Below are 19,206 nucleotides of genomic sequence, written 5' to 3'. Positions count from 1 at the left end.
CCAGTGACTGCTAGCCTATTACTGAGCCCTAATGGGGCAGACTTTTCTCACTCTTCAACCCGACATTCCTATCGCATTATGGGTCTTCTCTAATCCAAAATCTGATAAGGTGGTACATGCCCAGGAAAATTCTATTAAAAGGGGGATATAGCACATCCAATCAATTAGACCTTAGACAAATTCATAAAATATGGCCCTACACTCACAGGCACAGAGATCCCTCTGCTGTTTTAAACAAGCCATTGACTCAGTAAGGCACTTGCCTGAAAGATTTGCCACCTGACAAGAAAGCATGATTCACTAATGGAAAAGCCTCTCTCAAAGGTCATAAAATCTTATGGAGTGATACATTCCTTCACCATAATGATGGTGAGTTGTTGAGATCCCATGGTATTGGACATGCTTCAAAACTGGGTAAACTTCAGGCATTCTTCATGGCCATAGAGCACAATCTCCTCAGATTGACTGAATTGCACTATTATAAAGACTAATGAGCCATTAGTAATGAGCCTAGTTACACTGTCAGGCTATTGGGTTCCCTAGGACAGAACTCTTTATTTTATTTTATTTTATTTTTGAGATGGAGTCTCGCTCTGTCACCCAGTGGCACGATCTCAGCTCACTGCAACCTCCGCCTCCCAGGTTCAAGTGATTCCTCTGCCTCAGCCTCCTAAGTAGCTGGGACTACAGGCGCGCACGACCATGCCCAGCTAATTTTTGTATTTTTAGTAGAGATGGGGTTTCACCATATTGGCCAGGCTGGTCTTGAACTCTTGACCTCGTGATCTGCCTGCCTCAGCCTCCCCAAAATGCTGGGATTACAGGCGTGAGCCACCACACTTGGCCAACAGAACTCTTTACACATGCTTTTCTGAGGTAACATTTGCCCAAGGAAATAGTTACAACAACTTAGTCACAAGCTCAATTCTTATATTCTATGTTTATATGTCCATGAGAAAGAACTGAATCTAAAGGAAAACATGTGACATGAAAAAGCCAATTAAGAATGTGTAACCATCATCTCCAGTATAGTCTTGGGTGCCTGTTCAAATCCATCCCGCTATGAAGGAACACAATGGCCAATAAGGAATTTATTCAAAAGACATAGAAGTCTTTAGGAAGCTGAGGTGCGAAAAGTCCCTGAGTCCAGGAGTTCTAGACCAGCCTGGGCAACATAGGGAGACTGAGTCTCTATAAAAAATAAAACAATTGGCTGGGCATGGTGATGCATGCCTGTGGTCCCCGCCAATCAGACAGCTAAGGTGGGAGGATGGCTTCAGTGTGGGAGGTTGAAGAAGCAGTAAGCCATGATGGTGCCACTGCACTCCAGCCTAGGGGACAAAGTGATACCCTATCTCAAAAAAAAAAAAAAAAAAAAAGACACACAGGCCACTGTTGTCCATCAGGCTTATTCTACTTGCCATTTAAGGCAGCCTTTTTGAAAACAACCTCCACAAGGCTTGTCAGTCCAGTTTTCCCTAATTGTTTACAAGCTATAGGCTACCGTACCAAGCAAGGGCCCCTCTTACCATGGTTAAACTCCAAAGCACCTAGAAGTTAGGGAGTAGAGAAAAATATCATTTCAAGAGGAATAGTATACTCCTTTTCTTTTTTTTTTTTTTTTAACCCCCTTTGCTTTGACCTCAGTGCATGGGAACACACAACATATTGCTCATTTAAAAGCAACAGATGGTGCTGCAGACATCCTCTTTGAAACCTGCAGGTGACCTATGATGGCAAAATGGTAACTTTGGGGTCCCCACTGAACTATCATTCCAGACAAAGGACAATCTGGCTCATCTCCATGGAGAAAAACAGATCTGTTTGTCAGATGTGAACATATCTGACCCTGGGAAATGGTTGGAGATGGATGTTCAAGGGAGGTGATGAACGACTTTCTCTTTCCTATGGCAGATATGGAACAGACATTCCTAAACAAAGGTTTCTGTGCTTGGCCAGGAAAAAGAGTTCATAATGTGAACTTATTAGGATGTTGGTTCTACATCCTCATCTAACCCAGCTGGTGACCTTACTAATATTCTTCTCCCAGACAATACTAAGGAAATTGGTATGCTCAGAACCAGGTGTCAGCCAGGGCTGATGGAGAGATCTATAATAATGAGTCTCTAAGATCAAAGGATAGACAGCAGTGAGGCAAATCTTTATTTACGGATGGTCCCGGTGATTCTCTTTCTTCCCTCTTTTTGTGGTTTCACAGAGCTGGCTCACCAGGACTGTTTGACTCACTGATACCAGCTACATTGGTATACAAAGTACATACTCCCTTCTCCCTTTTTCCAACAAGGCCACTGCCCCAACCAGGAAGCTCTCAGTGATACATGGTTGACTAGGTGCTCTCTATGCCCTCCCAATTCCCCTATAATTTTGTGAAGTGATATGTGAGAAGGGGGTTCCTCTCAGGAGCATCTTCTATGGTGAATCCAGCTTTGCTTAATCTAAGTCTATTTCTCTACGGAATAATGACAGCTCAGGGGATATTATATCCTCTATTGCTTCCTGGATTGCAAGGTTTCCTCTATAAAATCTACCTTATGCGTACTATTTGGGTCACTAGTAATATGCCCCTTGTGTAACAGTTAACTGAGGATATTAAAAGCTCCTCTAGTCTAGATCTTTTAGTTATAACATACATTTTCATTTGCAGAAATTTATTTTGATAAAAATTGAAAAGAAACAAAATATTTTAACAGCCTTTATTTCACAATTAGATAATGCCTTTTCTTCATTGTTAATACCTTCCTTGACCACCCAATCTAAATTATCCTTCCCTGTGACTGTCAGATATGTAGTTTCATTATCTCCATGTATTAGTCTCTAAAATTATCTTGTTCATTTATTTTTACTTGTTTATTTTTTGTCTCTCCTGTTATAATGTAAGTACCACAAGAAAAGGCATCTTATCTGTCTGATTTTTCAGTAAAACACAATACCCAAAAGAGAACTGGACATATGAAGGTGACAAAAGTATCTCTTGAATGAGTTGGGTGAATAAATGAATGAGTAAATTTAACAGCTAATCATCTAATCTATGGAGAAAAAAAATGGACATGTTCCAACACTCTTCTCTTGTATGTTTTCGTGCTTGATAGCAAACCCAAGTAATAATGAAAGTCCTAATGAAAGTATTTAGAAAGAACTAGGTTGACTGTGTAACTCTTCAAAATAAAACACCATGAATTAGTTCACATTTTCATTTCTAAAAAGTGTGAATTTCAATGCCACAAAACATTTAAGAAAAGCTAACAACGCACATGATGTGAAACAATAAATTATTAAAATCTATTGTTTGATTAACTATTTACCACTAACTCATTCCCTAAGCCAAAATAAACTGATAAATGTTGTAAAGAGCAAAAATGTACTTTATTGTAAGCAATACCATGTATCTGCTCAGGTGGGGTCTCCTTACTTCGCTCCCATCCACTCTCTGAAGGTTTGGGAGACTTTTCCAAAGTATTTCAGAAACTCTATTAGCATCTAAGAAGTAACCCAAAATGAAGGTTGATGAATAATATTGTGCCATGTGCTTAATAGTTTGAATTTTTATTATATTTAGCAACATAATATAATATGTAATATATTATATTATTATATAATATATAATAATTAACCTAAAGCTATTAAGTGCAATTCTATAAAACCTATCAAGCTGAAACAACCTATTTCATCTCATATTTCCCATTATTGTCCTTAGTCTAGGATGCAAACAAAATGAATTTTTGGCCTCTTCCTGAGCACACTGTATAGATTCTAAACATCTTCATCTTTGCCTCAAAGCAAAGTTCTGTCCACTTGGCACACCCTTTCCTCACATTTCCCTGTTAAAATCCAACCCAACCATCTTTCTAAAATTAAATGGTATGTAATTCTTAATCCAGTCAGAAATAGCTTTTCCTCTTCTTTGATGTAGCTTCTTGGTAATGTTTTATAGAATGCAACGTCTGCATTATACTTCACTTATTTTTGTACATGTCTAGTCGGCCCTACTAGACTGTTAATGCATTGAGGGCAATGACCATATATTTGAAGCCCTTTATATCCCATAATACCCAGCACAGTGCCTTGCACAGCATAGATGCTCAGTCAGTGTTTCCTCATTAGAGCTAAACTGAATTGAAATGAATTAAAATAATCTTCCTCCTGAAGTTATTACATCAATCAACATTTCTAGGGGGAAAAAGGCATTTAAGAGGAATTATTTGATATATCCATTCTATGATTTTTTTAATCTTGATGTACTATATTCCCCATCATCCTCATTCTGTTGTTCTCCATTGAACCCTTCTTCCATTCTATCACTTCCCATTAAAATTCTAAAATGTGACTTATCAGAAAAGTAGAATGAGGGCTGCCAGGGGTAATAACTCACTAGGTAACATTATCATAACCCCTCTTTAAGATTTTTCCAAACACCCATGGAAAGTAACTGAAACTGCCTTACCATGTCTTCATAGAGACCAGAAACTCTCTTTAAAATGCTTTTTGTAAGCCAGTGTTTCTATTTTCTGAGATTTACCAATGTACAAAGAGCCTATCACATTTATCAGCAGCAACTAAATGTTCAATATTAAAACAACTTATATCAAAAGTTAACCACCTCATGTTCTTCAGGGTGATAAACTACTGGCTCTGTAGGATTTTCAAAGGCTATACGTCACCATGATTGCATGGAAAACTATAGTAGCATTCCATGCTCTACCATAATCTGAGTATGAATATAAGAGCACCAGCTGGGCATGGTGGCTCACGCCTGTAATCCCAGCACTTTGGGAGTCCGAGGTGGGTGGATCACTTGAGGACAGGAGTTTGAGACCAGCCTGGCCAACATGGCGAAACCCCGTCTCTACTAAAAATATAAAAATTAGCCGGGCATGGTGGTGGACGCCTGTAATCCCAGCTCCTGGGGAGGCTGAGGCAGGAGAATCACTTGAACCTGGGAGGCAGAGGTTGCAGTGAGCCGAGATCATGCCACTGCCCTCCAGCCTGGGCAATTAAAAGCGAGACTCCATCTGAAGAAAAAAAAAAAAAAAAAAAAAAAAGCACCATGCTTTTGCTTTATTCCTTCCTATTTCTACATGATACATAAGTTCCCATTACTGTTGAAGATAATTATTAATACTTTTTCTTATACATTCTCAAATGTTTATAATACTGACTATACATATTTAAAATATAAAGAAATCAATAATAAGAAACCAACCATTATAAGTTTGCAAAGCAACAAGTGGACCAACGTCTAATTTTCTCTTGGACATTGTATTTAAAACATATAGTTTTTAGTATATGTTTAGTTAGTATTTAAAACATATAAATATAAACATTCACTACAAACATTTAAAATGAACATTTTCAAAACTTCTGGCCATTAATCATTACACTTATTACCTAATTCTTGCTAATTCACCTGGGTCTATAATCCATAAATATTTAAAATGGCAATGAAGTACATAAATGCATACTTCTAGGTAATTCCTCTTTACTCCATGGTAATGTGAATCAAGAAAGTCTGTGAGTCGATCATAATATACTAATCAAAGAGACTCACTAGTGAAAACTATAAGATTTAATTGGATGAATCAATCAACTCAATTATTTATGTGTATGCATGTACATACATATGTGTGCATATAGTAACTGAGTTAAAATGGAAGGTAAAAATGATTTTTCACTAAGTTGTTTATGTATCTAGCTCATGCATCTTGATGATAACTAAGTTGAAAATAAGGGTTAGTTCCTCACTATCTGGAAATTTTAATTGCTGTTGTCAGGAAAAAAAAGTTTGTTTCTACATTGTCCTTAATTTAAATTTAAATTTAAATTTTTCATTTAATTTTGATTTTGACTGCATCAACTCTTCTAACTTTGATATCTAAAGTTTCTAACATTTTCTACTTAAAATTAGTTTCAAAGAGTTTTGTGACATTAAATTTAGAATGGTTATTTTCATTGCTTAGGTATGTGAACTGATAAAGATTAGAAAATGAGGGAACAAATTTTTAAAAAGTGTTTTACCTCTTTTCAATCAGTCTTCCGCTTTGGGCAGTGATCTGTGATAAAGATAATACTACATTTAAAAATATCAAGTATGCATATGAAATGTTTACAGTCATTTAGAAAAATATCATTTAAGGTAGTTTTTTAATATGACAATTTCGTAAGATTAAGGTATCAAAAAAGCAAAGAAATTATCATATTTTAGCATTGGAAGAGACATTATAGAAGGAGAGTAGGCCCTAAAATTACACTTATATTTCTAAATTAAGAGCAAATAAGGTTTTATACTTTTAGTAAACAAAAAAAAAATTTTTTGAGTTAAAGAAAAGCATGTTTATTAGAGCAACAGAGTACAAGAAAATAGCTGATCCATAGACAGAGCAGGCCTGCTCCACAGGCAGAGTAGCTCAAAATTTATTTTAAACTTATCTATTACATAATTATCTAATCCTTTTAAATATTCTTGTTGAAGTGTTTATAATGCTAATACTATATATAATAAACTGTGGAGGTACTTTTTGTAATTTATCAATTTTAAAATAAGTATACTGAGAATACATGTTCAAATATGTTTACAGAAGTATGTAACCAAAAGGTTAGGCCAGCCGGGCAAGGTGGCTCACACCTGTAATCCCAGCACTTTGGGAGGCCGAGGCAGGCAGATCACCTGAGGTCAGGAGTTCAAGACTACCATGGCCAACATGGTGAAACCCCCTCTCTACTAAACATACAAAAATTAGCTGGGCATGGTGGCGGGCGCCTGTAATCCCAGCTACTCGGGAGGCTGAGACAGAATTGTCTGAACCTGAACCAAGGAGGCAGAGGTTGCAGTGAGCCAAGATCTCACCACTGCACTCCAGTCTGGGCAACAGAGTGAGACTCTCTCTCAAAAAAAAAAAAAAAAAGGCCAGTGACCTTAAAAGTGTGATTTTTATTAATAAATTACCTCTTGTGAATATAATACATATTTTCCTATAGTATAAATGTTGATTCTAGGTTTTATTCTGGACCTGATTTTCATCTAATTCAGTTTCTTTTATGCAGAGATTAACTGGTTTTATCCTTATTCCCCTGTGGCAAAGACTCCTAAATGGTCAACAAACTAATTTTCTCTTCTTCTTAGACACATTGTTAGTCTACATTTGTTAATTCCCCCTGTAGTTAAATGTAGCAAATAGGACGTGAGAAAAAAGAATGTGCATCTCCTCCAGCCAGGTCAATGAAAATTACTCATGTTTGTCCTCCATATTCTTTTCTGATAGCTAGATAACTATGCCTAGTGTGGCTCAGGAAGCCACACATAAGATGGCAAACCTTCCATATGCTGGGATACCTTAACAACCCTGTGGAGCAGAACTCCCTACCACGAAGACTGACCTTGAACTTCCTTGGACTATTAACACCAGGAAAGAAGCTTCCATTGTGTTTGAGCCATCATACATTTTGTGTCTATATGTCATAATAGTCACAATAGTTATCCTATATACTAACTAATAAATAACCAAGGATTTTCAACTAGCCACCAACATGAGACTGGCCTGGAAAGAGAGAGACCAATTAGTCCTGGTGTGAGCCTGACTAACAGAACTGTCATTAATATTGAGAAAACTGGACAGAATTTGATGGATAATAATTGGATCAAGACAAAGGAAAAGAAGAAATAACAGTGATGCTGGGCTTTCTAGTTTCAGCAATTAGATGGATGAGGATGCCAGGAGACTGAATACTGAGAGATAAAGCAGGTCTGAGAAGAGCGCAATTGGTTCATTTGGGGACATGGTGAATTCTAGATGTTTGAAGCCCATTGAAACAGAAAAATTCAGTAAGTTAATGAATAACAGGTCTGGAAATTAGGTGTTATTCGAGTTAGAGATAAGAGATTTATATGGCCCTAGAAGCCATGAAGGTATATGAGCATGTTCAGAAAGAGTATATGGAATAAAAAGAAACTCTAGGACAAAACCCAGAGAACTACTAACATTTAAAGAATGAGCAGAGCAAGAGGAGACAAAAGAGGTGTCCCAAAAATATACAAGGAAAATCAAATAATTATGCTATTTCTCAAACTATAGACTATATATGTACCCCAGAACTTAAAGTATAATACAAAAGTATTAAAAAATAAATGATTAAACATATTAAATGCTGCTAAGAGGACAAATGAGATTAAACTATAAATCATCTGGCTGGGTGTGGTAGCTCATGCCTGTAATCCCAGCATTTTGGGAGGCTGAGGCAGGTGGATCACCTGAGGTCACGAGTTCGAGACCAGCCTGGCCAACATGGTGAAACTCCGTCTCTACTAAAAATATAAAAAATTAGCCAGGCATGGTGTCAGGCTCCTGTAATCTCAGCTACTTGGCAGGCTGAGGCAGGAGAATCACTTGAATCCAGGAGGCGGAGGTTGCAGTGAGCTGAGATCACACCATTGCACTCTGGCCTGGGCAATAAAAGAGAAACTCCATCTCAAAAAATGAAAAGAAAGAAAGAAAAAAACTATAAAGCATCCTTCAGAATAGCATCAAATAGATTTGCTATAACCTCAGCAAAAATAGTTTTAATACAGTGATTGAGAAAGAAGGTTACAGTTAAATTACTATAAGAACATGGACAATGAGTATAAACTTCTATTACATCAAAATCTCCAATAATGATATCTCCTGTTTCACTATTACCAGAACAAGCCAGCTGAATACATGACATTATATACATCATCTTTGCAAAGAACCTAGCATATAAGATGTTTTATTAATGAATGTTAAGCTAGATACATAAGAAGACAGGTGTGTATTGATGTATATATAAACCCACTAAAATGAGAATCACTTATGTGAAAGCAATGTGATGTTTTAGTTACTGTTCTGCTCAGGTTCATTTTACTATTTAACTTTTTCTGTCATATATGAAAACCTCTGTTTTGGATTAGGAGATAAATACTGGGAAATAGAAAACAATAAAGCTTTTAACAAAGCAAGTTTCAAATGCAGCCATATAGACAAGCAAAGAAGATATCTTCAGATGTGATTTTGGAGCGAGAAAGACCTGAATTTGAAATCTAACTCAATATTACTCACTGTAATGCGGCATGGCTAATTTTTTAAACCTTTGGTTTCATTCTCAGAATGGAGGTGCTAATAGCTAGCTTATGGTCTTGTGTAAATGACTAGCCCGTATACACAGATATAAAATAACTAGCAGATTTTATAATAATGGCAGATATAAAATGACTAGCAGATTTTAAGTTGTGCTGCTTCTTTTGTTCTTTGTCTTAAAGCAGCTGACAGACAATCCTATATTTCTTTAGATATTTGTTTTTATATTCAATTCGGTGTACCTTACTTCGTTTATATACATGATCTAACAACTTTAATAATTTTTATTGCCCTCGGAGAAACTATTTTTATTATTTATCTTTCCAGGAAGAAGTTGAGGTAGTTCACAATAAAAATTATACACAAAAAGAGAAGGTAAAAATAAAGGACTCAAATCTCAGATGCTTATGTGGTCATTCAAAATCAGTATATATTTAAGTCATAGTTTGGTATTCAAGATAATAATGAGTTGACATATACAGAAGGTAAAGGGCAAAAGTAAAAACAAATCCAAAGGCCGGGCGCGGTGGCTCATGCCTGTAATCCCAGCACTTTGGGAGGCCGAGGCAGGCAGATCACGAGGTCAGGAGATCAAGACCATCCTGGCCAACACAGTGAAACTCCATCTCTACTAAAAATACAAAAATTAGCCGGGCATGGTGGCGCATGCCTGTAATCCCAGCTACTCAGGAGGCGGAGGCAGGAGAATCCCTTGAACCAGGGAGTTGGAGGTTGCAGTGAGCCAAGATCGCACCATAGCACTCTAGCCTGGCGACAGAGCAAGACTCCATCTCAAAAAAAAAAAAAAAAAAACCCAAAAACAGAGGCATGAATTTTTAAATAACATATACAAATGAAGTAAATAATAATATAAAAGACAAATTTCTCACAACATATACTACTGTCTCCATTTTGGTTATTTCCTCACCTGTGGATATTCTTGGATTTTATCACTTGTCCTTTGTCCACCTGAATCTGAAACCAGTGATTTTCTTGTTTCTTTCTCCAATGGTATATTTTTTGAATCTTCACCTTTAACTTTTGTTTGACTATTACCCACTTGCATTGTTGTCTCAGTTTTCCCCTCACTTTTAAGTAACTTCTCTTGATTTAGGAAATAGTTAAGTTGATGCTTAGCTTTTTCAGCTTCCTGTTTTTAAAAAAGTACCAGTTTATTAAGCATTTTCTGATATTTTCCTGCCAATACTACCACATTCAGGAATCTACATATATTTACGCCTACATGATTTCTCAACTCATTTTTACTGAGTTGAAGGGAGCAAAGGTAAGCTATTGCTATAATTGATACTTTAACAATTCCACAGTTAAAATCAGAAGTTGTGAAGAAACCTCTTCCACCTTTGAGGGCTATTTTTATACCCAGGAGTTTTTCCTGGCTGTTATTTTTAAGGCTCTAATTATTATACAAGCAAAATAAAAATTCATATAAGGTATACATTATAAAAATTGATAGACTATAAGAAGGATAATTAGCACCTATAATATCAAAGAATGAAATAAAATGTGGAAAACAATTTATTTCTTCTGGAATAAAAGTCTCCTTAAAAATGTCACTTTTTATAATTTTTATTTAGTCATACAATTAACTTACTTATATAAAAGACTATATAAATAAAAAGAAAATTCATAAATAATCTCACCTCATAAAGAAAAATTACTATTAACATTTTGAGATATATCCTTTTTAAATTTTTCTAAATATAACTAATATATATATAATATATATTATATATTAGCTATATATATTATATATATATTAGCTATATTAGAAAGGTTAGAGGGAAATTACACAAAGATATTTTTTTATATATAAATATGTTATATATTTATATATAAAAAACCCTGCATATATATAGCTAATACATATTATAATATATATAATATATAATTATACATAGCTAATATATATATTAGCTATATATATATATATCTGCGGGGTTTTTTTGCAACCTCTAGTCTCCTGGGCTTAAGTTATCCCCCCACCTCAGCCTCCCAAGTAGCTGAGACTACAGGCCCACACCACCACACCCAGTCAGTTTTTGTATTTTTAATAGAGACAGGGTTTCACTATGTTGCCCAGGCTGTTCGCAAATTCTTGGGCTCAAAGTGATCCACCGGCCTTGGCCCCCTAAAGTGCTGGGATTACAGGCATGAACCATGATGCCCAGCCAAATTTTTTAAATGTTTATCTAAATTGGGTCCTACTATACACACTTACATCTTATGCTCTTTTCATTAAATAATGTCATAGATATGTTTCTATAACAATAAACATACATTTAAATCAGAATAGGTAATAGAAGTACATTTAATAATATACTATAATTGTCTTAGCAAACTCCTTAACAATGGACATTTAGATCATTTCAAAATTTTTGCTATTAAAACATATGACATTGTACATACTTGTACAAAATCTCTGTACACTTTTTTCTTCTTTAGGATAAACTTTTAAAAGCTTTTATTGAGTGAAAAGGCTACATCTTTCCAATTTTGCTATGTCTTTTCTGTCTCCCAGAAAGACATAACAAATATCTTTTATACTTCTATTAACAAAAACAGATGAATATATCAATTCATACTTTTTTGATAATAGAAGTACGTGAAAGGTTGCTCATTTCAGCATACAACCACAAATACTACATATTTCTGTCCTTTACATTTTTACCAAGATGGTAGGCAAAACAATTTTATAATACACAAATACACTTTTGTCTATTCATTTATGAAATGCTTATAGCTTTTTTTCATTTCTTGTTGTATTATTTAACTAAAATTTTAAAAAGAGTAGTAAGAGTCAACATCTTGGTTCAACTGAGTTTAATTGGAATGCCTGCAGTATTTTACCTTTAAGTATATTGCTTATCAGCTTGAAATACATTGTCTTTTTTTCTTTTCCTTTTCTTTTGTTCACACTGCAACCATGACAGATGAATAGATTGCCTTTATTAGCTTAAGAAAGTTTACTTTTCTTTATATCTCGCTATTTTTGATAAGAATGAATATTAAATTTTATTAATATACCCCTAATGCATAAAATGAATATAGTTTAAACCTAGCCAAATAGTAGAATATGTAGACCTCTTAGCTTACAAAGTAAAAATTATTCATTTGAAAAGTTCTTTGTGGATATTTTCTTTACTTGTTAACAATGTTAAAGAAACATGACATCCTTTACCTGTAAAGCCTGTTTCAATTGCTCCTGAAGGACTTTGTTCTCAATTTCCAGACGTGCTACTTTCTAGGAAGTAAGAAGGGGGAAAAAAGGTATTTACTTTGGTATTTTTAATTAATTTAGTTTTACCAGTATTACTTTTCCAAAACCCATAGATACCCAAGATAAGAATTGAGCATAGACATTGAACTGCACATCTCTCAAGTGTAATGGTGGATAATACCTGAAGCTAAAGCTTCCTATTGATTTTTCACAGGCAAATTGAGCATGAATCGGGGAAATTACAATTGCAGTAAATCAAACATTTCATTTCTCCTTTCCTCTAGGCCTGAAATATTTAAAAAGAAGAATTTCAAATTTTACTAAAAGAAGAACCTCTACTCTTAACACAAAATAAACATTGTTCTGGCTTTGTGCAAATGAGTAAATTCTATTACACATGATGTTCCAGGAATTCTCCATCAAATTAAAGACACTTTGAGGACCATATTTAGAGTTCCCAGTTTTGCTTCTGATATGACTGAGTTCCCACTAGACAAATGCTGCCACACATAACAACCATAAACTCTGGACTAAATACAAGTATCAACAATAGGAGAACAATCAAGAGTAGGCAGATTTGTTAACTTATTTTATTTTCTTTTTAAGAGACAGGGTCTTGCTCTGTTACCCAGGCTAGAGTGCAGCAGTGGGTTCCTAGCTCACTGCAGTCTCAAATTCATAGGCTCAAGCCATCCTCCTGCCTCAGCCTTCCAAAGCATGGGGATTATAGGCATGAGCCACCACACACCCAGCCAAGTGTAGGTAGATTCTTTTTTTTTTTTATACTTTAAGTTTTAGGGTACATGTACACAATGTGCAGGTTAGTTACATATGTATACATGTGCCATGCTGGTGTGCTGCACCCATTAACTCGTCATTATAGCATTAGGTATATCTCCTAATGTTATCCCTCCCCCGTCCCCCCACCCCACAACAGTCCCCAGAGTGTGATGTTCCCCTTCCTGTGTCCATGTGTTCTCATTGTTCAATTCCCACCTATGAGTGAGAATATGCGGTGTTTGGTTTTTTGTTCTTGCGATAGTTTACTGAGAATGATGATTTCCAATTTCATCCATGTCCCTACAAAGGACATGAACTCATCATTTTTTATGACTGCATAGTATTCCATGGTGTATATGTGCAACATTTTCTTAATCCAGTCTATCGTTGTTGGACATGTGGGTTGGTTCCAAGTCTCTGCTATTGTGAATAGTGCCACAATAAACATACGTGTGCATGTGTCTTTATAGCAGCATGATTTATAGTCCTTTGGATATATACCCAGTAATGGGATGGCTGGGTCAAATGGTATTTCTAGTTCTAGATCCCTGAGGAATCGCCACACTGCCTTCCACAATGGTTGAACTAGTTTACAGTCCCACCAACAGTGTAAAAGTGTTCCTATTTCTCCACATCCTCTCTAGCACCTGTTGTTTCCTGACTTCTTAATGATTGCCATTCTAACTGGTGTGAGATGGTATCTCATTGTGGTTTTGATTTGCATTTCTCTGATGGCCAGTGATGATGAGCATTTTTTCATGTGTTTTTTGGCTGCATAAATGTCTTCTTTTGAGAAGTGTCTGCTCATGTCCTTGGCCCACTTTTTGATGGGGTTGTTTGTTTTTTTCTTGTAAATTTGTTGGAGTTCTTTGTAGATTCTGGATATTAGCCCTTTGTCAGATAAGTAGGTTGCGAAAATTTTCTCCCATTTTGTAGGTTGCCTGTTCACTCTGATGGTAGTTTCTTTTGCTGTGCAGAAGCTCTTTAGTTTAATTAGATCCCATTTGTCAATTTTGGCTTTTGTTGCCATTGCTTTTGGTGTTTTATACATGAAGTCCGTGCCCATGCCTATGTCCTGAATGGTAATGCCTAGGTTTTCTTCTAGGGTTTTTATGGTTTTAGGTCTAACATTTAAGTCTTTAATCCATCTTGAATTAATTTTTGTATAAGGTGTAAGGAAGGGATCCAGTTTCAGCTTTCTACATATGGCTGGCCAGTATTCCCAGCACCATTTATTAAATAGGGAATCCTTTCCCCATTGCTTATTTTTCTCAGGTTTGTCAAAGATCAGATAGTTGTAGATATGTGGCATTATTTCTGAGGACTCTGTTCTGTTCCATTGATCTATATCTCTGTTTTGGTACCAGTACCATGCTGTTTTGGTTACTGTAGCCTTGTAGTATAGTTGGAAGTCACGTAGCATGATGCCTCCAGCTTTGTTCTTTTGGCTTAGGATTGACTTGGCAATGCGGGCTCTTTTTTGGTTCCATATGAACTTTAAAGTAGTTTTTTCCAATTCTGTGAAGAAAGTCATTGGTAGCTGGATGGGGATGGCATTGAATCTATAAATTACCTTGGGCAGTATGGCCATTTTCATGATATTGATTCTTCCTACCCATGAGCATGGAATGTTCTTCCATTTGTTTGTATCCTCTTTTATTTCATTGAGCAGTGGTTTGTAGCTCTCCTTGAAGAGGTCCTTCACATCCCTTGTAAGTTGGATTCCTAGGTATTTTATTCTCTTTGAAGCAATTGTGAATGGCAGTTCACTCATGATTTGCCTCTCTGTCTGTCATTGGTGTATAAGAATGCCTGTGATTTTTGCACATTGATTTTGTATACTGAGACTTTGCTGAAGTTGCTTATCAGCTTAAGCAGATTTTGGGCTAAGACAATGGGGTTTTCTAGCCCAGATGACAATCATGTCATCTGCAAACAGGGACAATTTGACTTCCTCTTTTCCTAACTGAATACCCTTTATTTCCTTCTCCTGCCTAATTGCCCTGGCCAGAACTTCCAACACTATGTTGAATAGGAGTGGTGAGAGAGGGCATCCCTGTCTTGTGCCAGTTTCAAAGGGAATGCTTCCAGTTTTTGCCCATTCAGTATGATATTGGCTGTGGGTTTGTCATAGATAGCTCTTATTATTTTGAGATACGTCCCATCAATACCTAATTTATTGAGTTTTTAGCATGAAGCGTTGTTGAATTTTGTCAAAGGCCTTTCCTGCATCTATTGAGATAATCATGTGGTTTTTGTCTTTGGTTCTGTTTATATGCTGGATTACATTTATTGATTTGCATATATTGAACCAGCCTTGCATCCCAGGGATGAAGCCAACTTGATCATGGTGGATAAGCTTTTTGATGTGCTGCTGGATTCGGTTTGCCAGTATTTTATTGAGGATTTTTACATCAATGTTCATCAAGGACATTGGTCTAAAATTCTCTTTTTTGGTTGTGTCTCTGCCCGGCTTTGATATCAGGATGATGCTGGCCTCATAAAATGAGTTAGGGAGGATTCCCTCTTTTTCTATTGATTGGAATAGTTTCAGAAGGAATGGCACCAATTCCTCCTTGTACCTCTGGTAGAATTCGGCTGTGAATCCATCTGGTCCTGGACTCTTTTTGGTTGGTAAGCTATTGATTATTGCCACAATTTCAGAGCCTGTTATTCGTCTATTCAGAGATTCAACTTCTTCCTGGTTTAGTCTTGGGAGGGTGTATGTGTCGAGGAACTTATCCATTTCTTCTAGATTTTCTAGTTTATTTGCGGAGAGGTGTTTGTAGTATTCTCTGATAGTAGTTTGTATTTCTGTGGGATCGGTGGTGATATCCCCTTTATCATTTTTTATTGCGTCTATTTGATTCTTCTCTCTTTTCTTCTTTATTAATATTGCTAGTGGTCTATCAATTTTGTTGATCCTTTCAAAAAACCAGCTCCTGGATTCACTAATTTTTTGAAGGGTTTTTTGTGTCTCTATTTCCTTCAGTTCTGCTCTGATTTTACTTATTTCTTGCCTTCTGCTAGCTTTTGAATGTGTTTGCTCTTGCTTTTCTAGTTCTTTTAATTGTGATGTTAGGGTGTCCATTTTAGATCTTTCCTGCTTTCTCTTGTGGGCATTTAGTGCTATAAATTTCCCTCTACACACTGCGTTGAATGTGTCCCAGAGATTCTGGTATGTTGTGTCTTTGTTCTCATTGGTTTCAAAGAACATCTTTATCTCTGCCTTCATTTCGTTATGTACCCAGTAGTCATTCAGGAGCAGGTTGTTCAGTTTCCATGTAGTTGAGCGGTTTTGAGTGAGTTTGTTAATCCTGAGTTCTAGTTTGATTGCACTGTGGTCTGAGAGACAGTTTGTTATAATTTCTGTTCTTTTACATTTGCTGAGGAGAGCTTTACTTCCAACTATGTGGTCAATTTTCAAATAGGTGTGGTGCGGTGCTGAAAAAAATGTATATCCTGTTGATTTGGGGTGGAGAGTTCTGTAGATGTCTATTAGGTCTGCTTGGTGCAGAGCTGAGTTCAATTCCTGGCTTGTCTCGTTGATCTGTCTAATGTTGACAGTGGGGTGTTAAAGTCTCCCATTACTATTGTGTGGGAGTCTAAGTCTCTTTCTAGGTCACTCAGGCCTTGCTTTATGAAACTGGGTGTTCCTGTATTGGATGCATATATATTTAGGATAGTTACCTCTTCTTGTTGAATTGATCCCTTTACCATTACGTAATGGCCTTGTCTCTTTTGATCTTTGTGGTTTAAAGTCTGTTTTATCAGAGACTAGGATTGCAATCCCTGCCTTTTTTTTTGTTTTGCATTTGCTTGGTAGATCTTCCTCCATCCTTTTATTTTGAGCCTGTGTGTCTCTGCATGTGAGATGGTTTCCTGAATACAGCATACTGATGGGTCTTGAGTCTTTATCCAGTTTGCCAGTCTGTGTCTTTTAATTGGAGCATTTAGCCCATTTACATTTAAAGTTAATATTGTTATGTGTGAATTTGATCCTGTCATTATGATGTTAGCTGGTTATTTTGCTCGTTAGTTGATGCAGTTTCTTCCTAGCATCGATGGTCTTTACAATTTGGCATGTTTTTGCAGTGGCTGGTACCAGTTGTTCCTTTCCATGTTTAGTGCTTCCTTCAGGAGCTCTTTTAGGGCAGGCCTGGTGGTGACAAAATCTCTCAGCATTTGCTTGTCTGTAAAGGATTTTATTTCTCCTTCACTTATGAAGCTTAGTTTGGCTGGATATGAAATTCTGGGTGAAAATTCTTTTCTTTAAGAATGTTGAATATTGGCCCCCACTCTCTTCTGGCTTGCAGAGTTTCTGCTGAGAGATCCGCTATTAGTCTGATGGGCTTCCCTTTGTGGGTAACCCGACCTTTCTCTCTGGCTGCCCTTAACATTTTTTCCTTCATTTCAACTTTGGTGAATCTGACAATTATGTGTCTTGGAGTTGCTCTTCTCGAGGAGTATCTTTGTGGCGTTCTCTGTATTTCCTGAATCTGAGTGTTGGCCTGCCTTGCTAGATTGGGGAAGTTCTCCTGGATAATATCTTGCAGAGTGTTTTCCAACTTGGTTCCATTCTCCCTGTCATTTTCAGGTACACCAATCAGACATAGATTTGGTCTTTTCACATAGTCCCATATTTCTTGGAGGCTTTGTTCGTTTCTTTTTATTCTTTTTCCTCTAAACTTCCCTTCTCGCTTCACTTCATTCATTTCATCTTCCATCACTGATACCCTTTCTTCCAGTTGATCACATCGGCTCCTGAGGCTTCTGCATTCTTCACGTAGTTCTCGAGCCTTGGTTTTCAGCTCCATCAGCTCCTTTAAGCACTTCACTGTATTGGTTATTCTAGTTATACATTCGTCTAAATTTTTTTCAAAGTTTTCAACTTCTTTGCCTTTGGTTTGAATTTCCTACTGTAGCTCAGAGTAGTTTGATCGTCTGAAGCCTTCTTCTCTCAACTCGTCAAAGTCATTCTCCATCCAGCTTTCTTCCATTGCTGGTGAGGAACTGCGTTCCTTTGGAGGAGGAGAGGTGCTCTGCTTTTTAGAGTTTCCAGTTTTTCTGCTCTGTTTTTTCCCCATCTTTGTGGTTTTATCTACTTTTGGTCTTTGATGATGGTGACATACAGATGGGTTTTTGGTGTGGATGTCCTTTGTGTTTGTTAGTTTTCCTTCTAACAGACAGGACCCTCAGCTGCAGGTCTGTTGGAGTTTGCTAGAGGTCCACTCCAGACCGTCTACCTGGATAACAGCAGCAGTGGCTGCACAACAGCGGATTTTCATGAACCGCAAATGCTGCTGTCTGATCGTTCCTCTGCAAGTTTTGTCTCAGAGGAGTACCCGGCCGTGTGAGGTGTCAGTCTGCCCCTACTGGGGGGTGCCTCCCAGTTAGGCTGCTCTGGGGTCAGGGGTCAGGCACCCACTTGAGGAGGCAGTCTGTCCGTTCTCAGATCTCCAGCTGCGTGCTGGGAGAACCACTGCTCTCTTCAAAGCTGTCAGACAGGGACATTTAAGTCTGCAGAGGTTACTGCTGTCTTTTTGTTTGTCTGTGCCCTGCCCCCAGAGGTGGAGCCTACAGAGGCAGGCAGGCAGGCCTCCTTGAGCTGTGGTGGGCTCCACCCAGTTCGAGCTTCCTGGCTGCTTTGTTTACCTAAGCAAGCCTGGGCAATGGCGGGCGCCCCTCCCCCAGCCTCGCTGCCGCCTTGCAGTTTGATCTCAGAGTGCTGTGCTAGCAATCAGCGAGACTCCGTGGGCGTACGACCCTCCAAGCCATGTGCGGGATATAATCTCCTGGTGCGCTGTTTTTTAAGCCTGTTGGAAAACCACAGTATTAGGGCGGGAGTGACCTGATTTCCAGGTGCTGTCTGTCACCCCTTTCTTTGACTAGGAAAGGGAACTCCCTGACCCCTTGCGCTTCCCGAGTGAGGCAATGCCTCGCCCTGCTTCGGCTCACGCATGGTGCACTGCACCCACTGTCCTGTGCCCACTGTCTGGCACTCCCTAGTGAGATGAACCCAGTACCTCAGATGGAAATGCAGAAATCACCCGTCTTCTGCGTCACTCACGCTGGGAGCTG

The 19,206-nt window shown here is 37.5% G+C and overlaps 1 protein-coding gene across 48 annotated transcripts in view; it reads right to left on the bottom strand.

Moving 5' to 3' along the window:
* CCDC7 (coiled-coil domain containing 7) overlaps positions 1-19,206 on the bottom strand; it is a 439,541-nt gene that overhangs the window by 304,938 nt on the left and 115,397 nt on the right. For 39 of the 48 annotated variants that reach the window (XM_047425743.1, XM_047425742.1, NM_001321115.2 and 36 more), the window contains 3 exons: positions 12,307-12,369; positions 10,036-10,257; positions 6,034-6,068 (listed from right to left, as the gene is read on the bottom strand). In XM_047425743.1, the coding sequence (XP_047281699.1) occupies positions 6,034-6,068; positions 10,036-10,257; positions 12,307-12,369 (320 nt within the window). Of the gene's footprint in view, positions 1-3,365; positions 3,499-6,033; positions 6,069-10,035; positions 10,258-12,306; positions 12,370-12,526; positions 12,934-18,780; positions 18,808-19,206 lie in introns of those variants that run through there. The other 9 variants (NR_109826.2, NM_145023.6, NM_001026383.3 and 6 more) reach the window with 6 other exon arrangements.

The sequence above is a fragment of the Homo sapiens genome, chromosome 10 (genome assembly GCF_000001405.40).
Source record: "Homo sapiens chromosome 10, GRCh38.p14 Primary Assembly".
NCBI lineage: Eukaryota > Metazoa > Chordata > Mammalia > Primates > Hominidae > Homo > Homo sapiens.
This window is presented reverse-complemented; position numbering and strand designations above follow the sequence as displayed.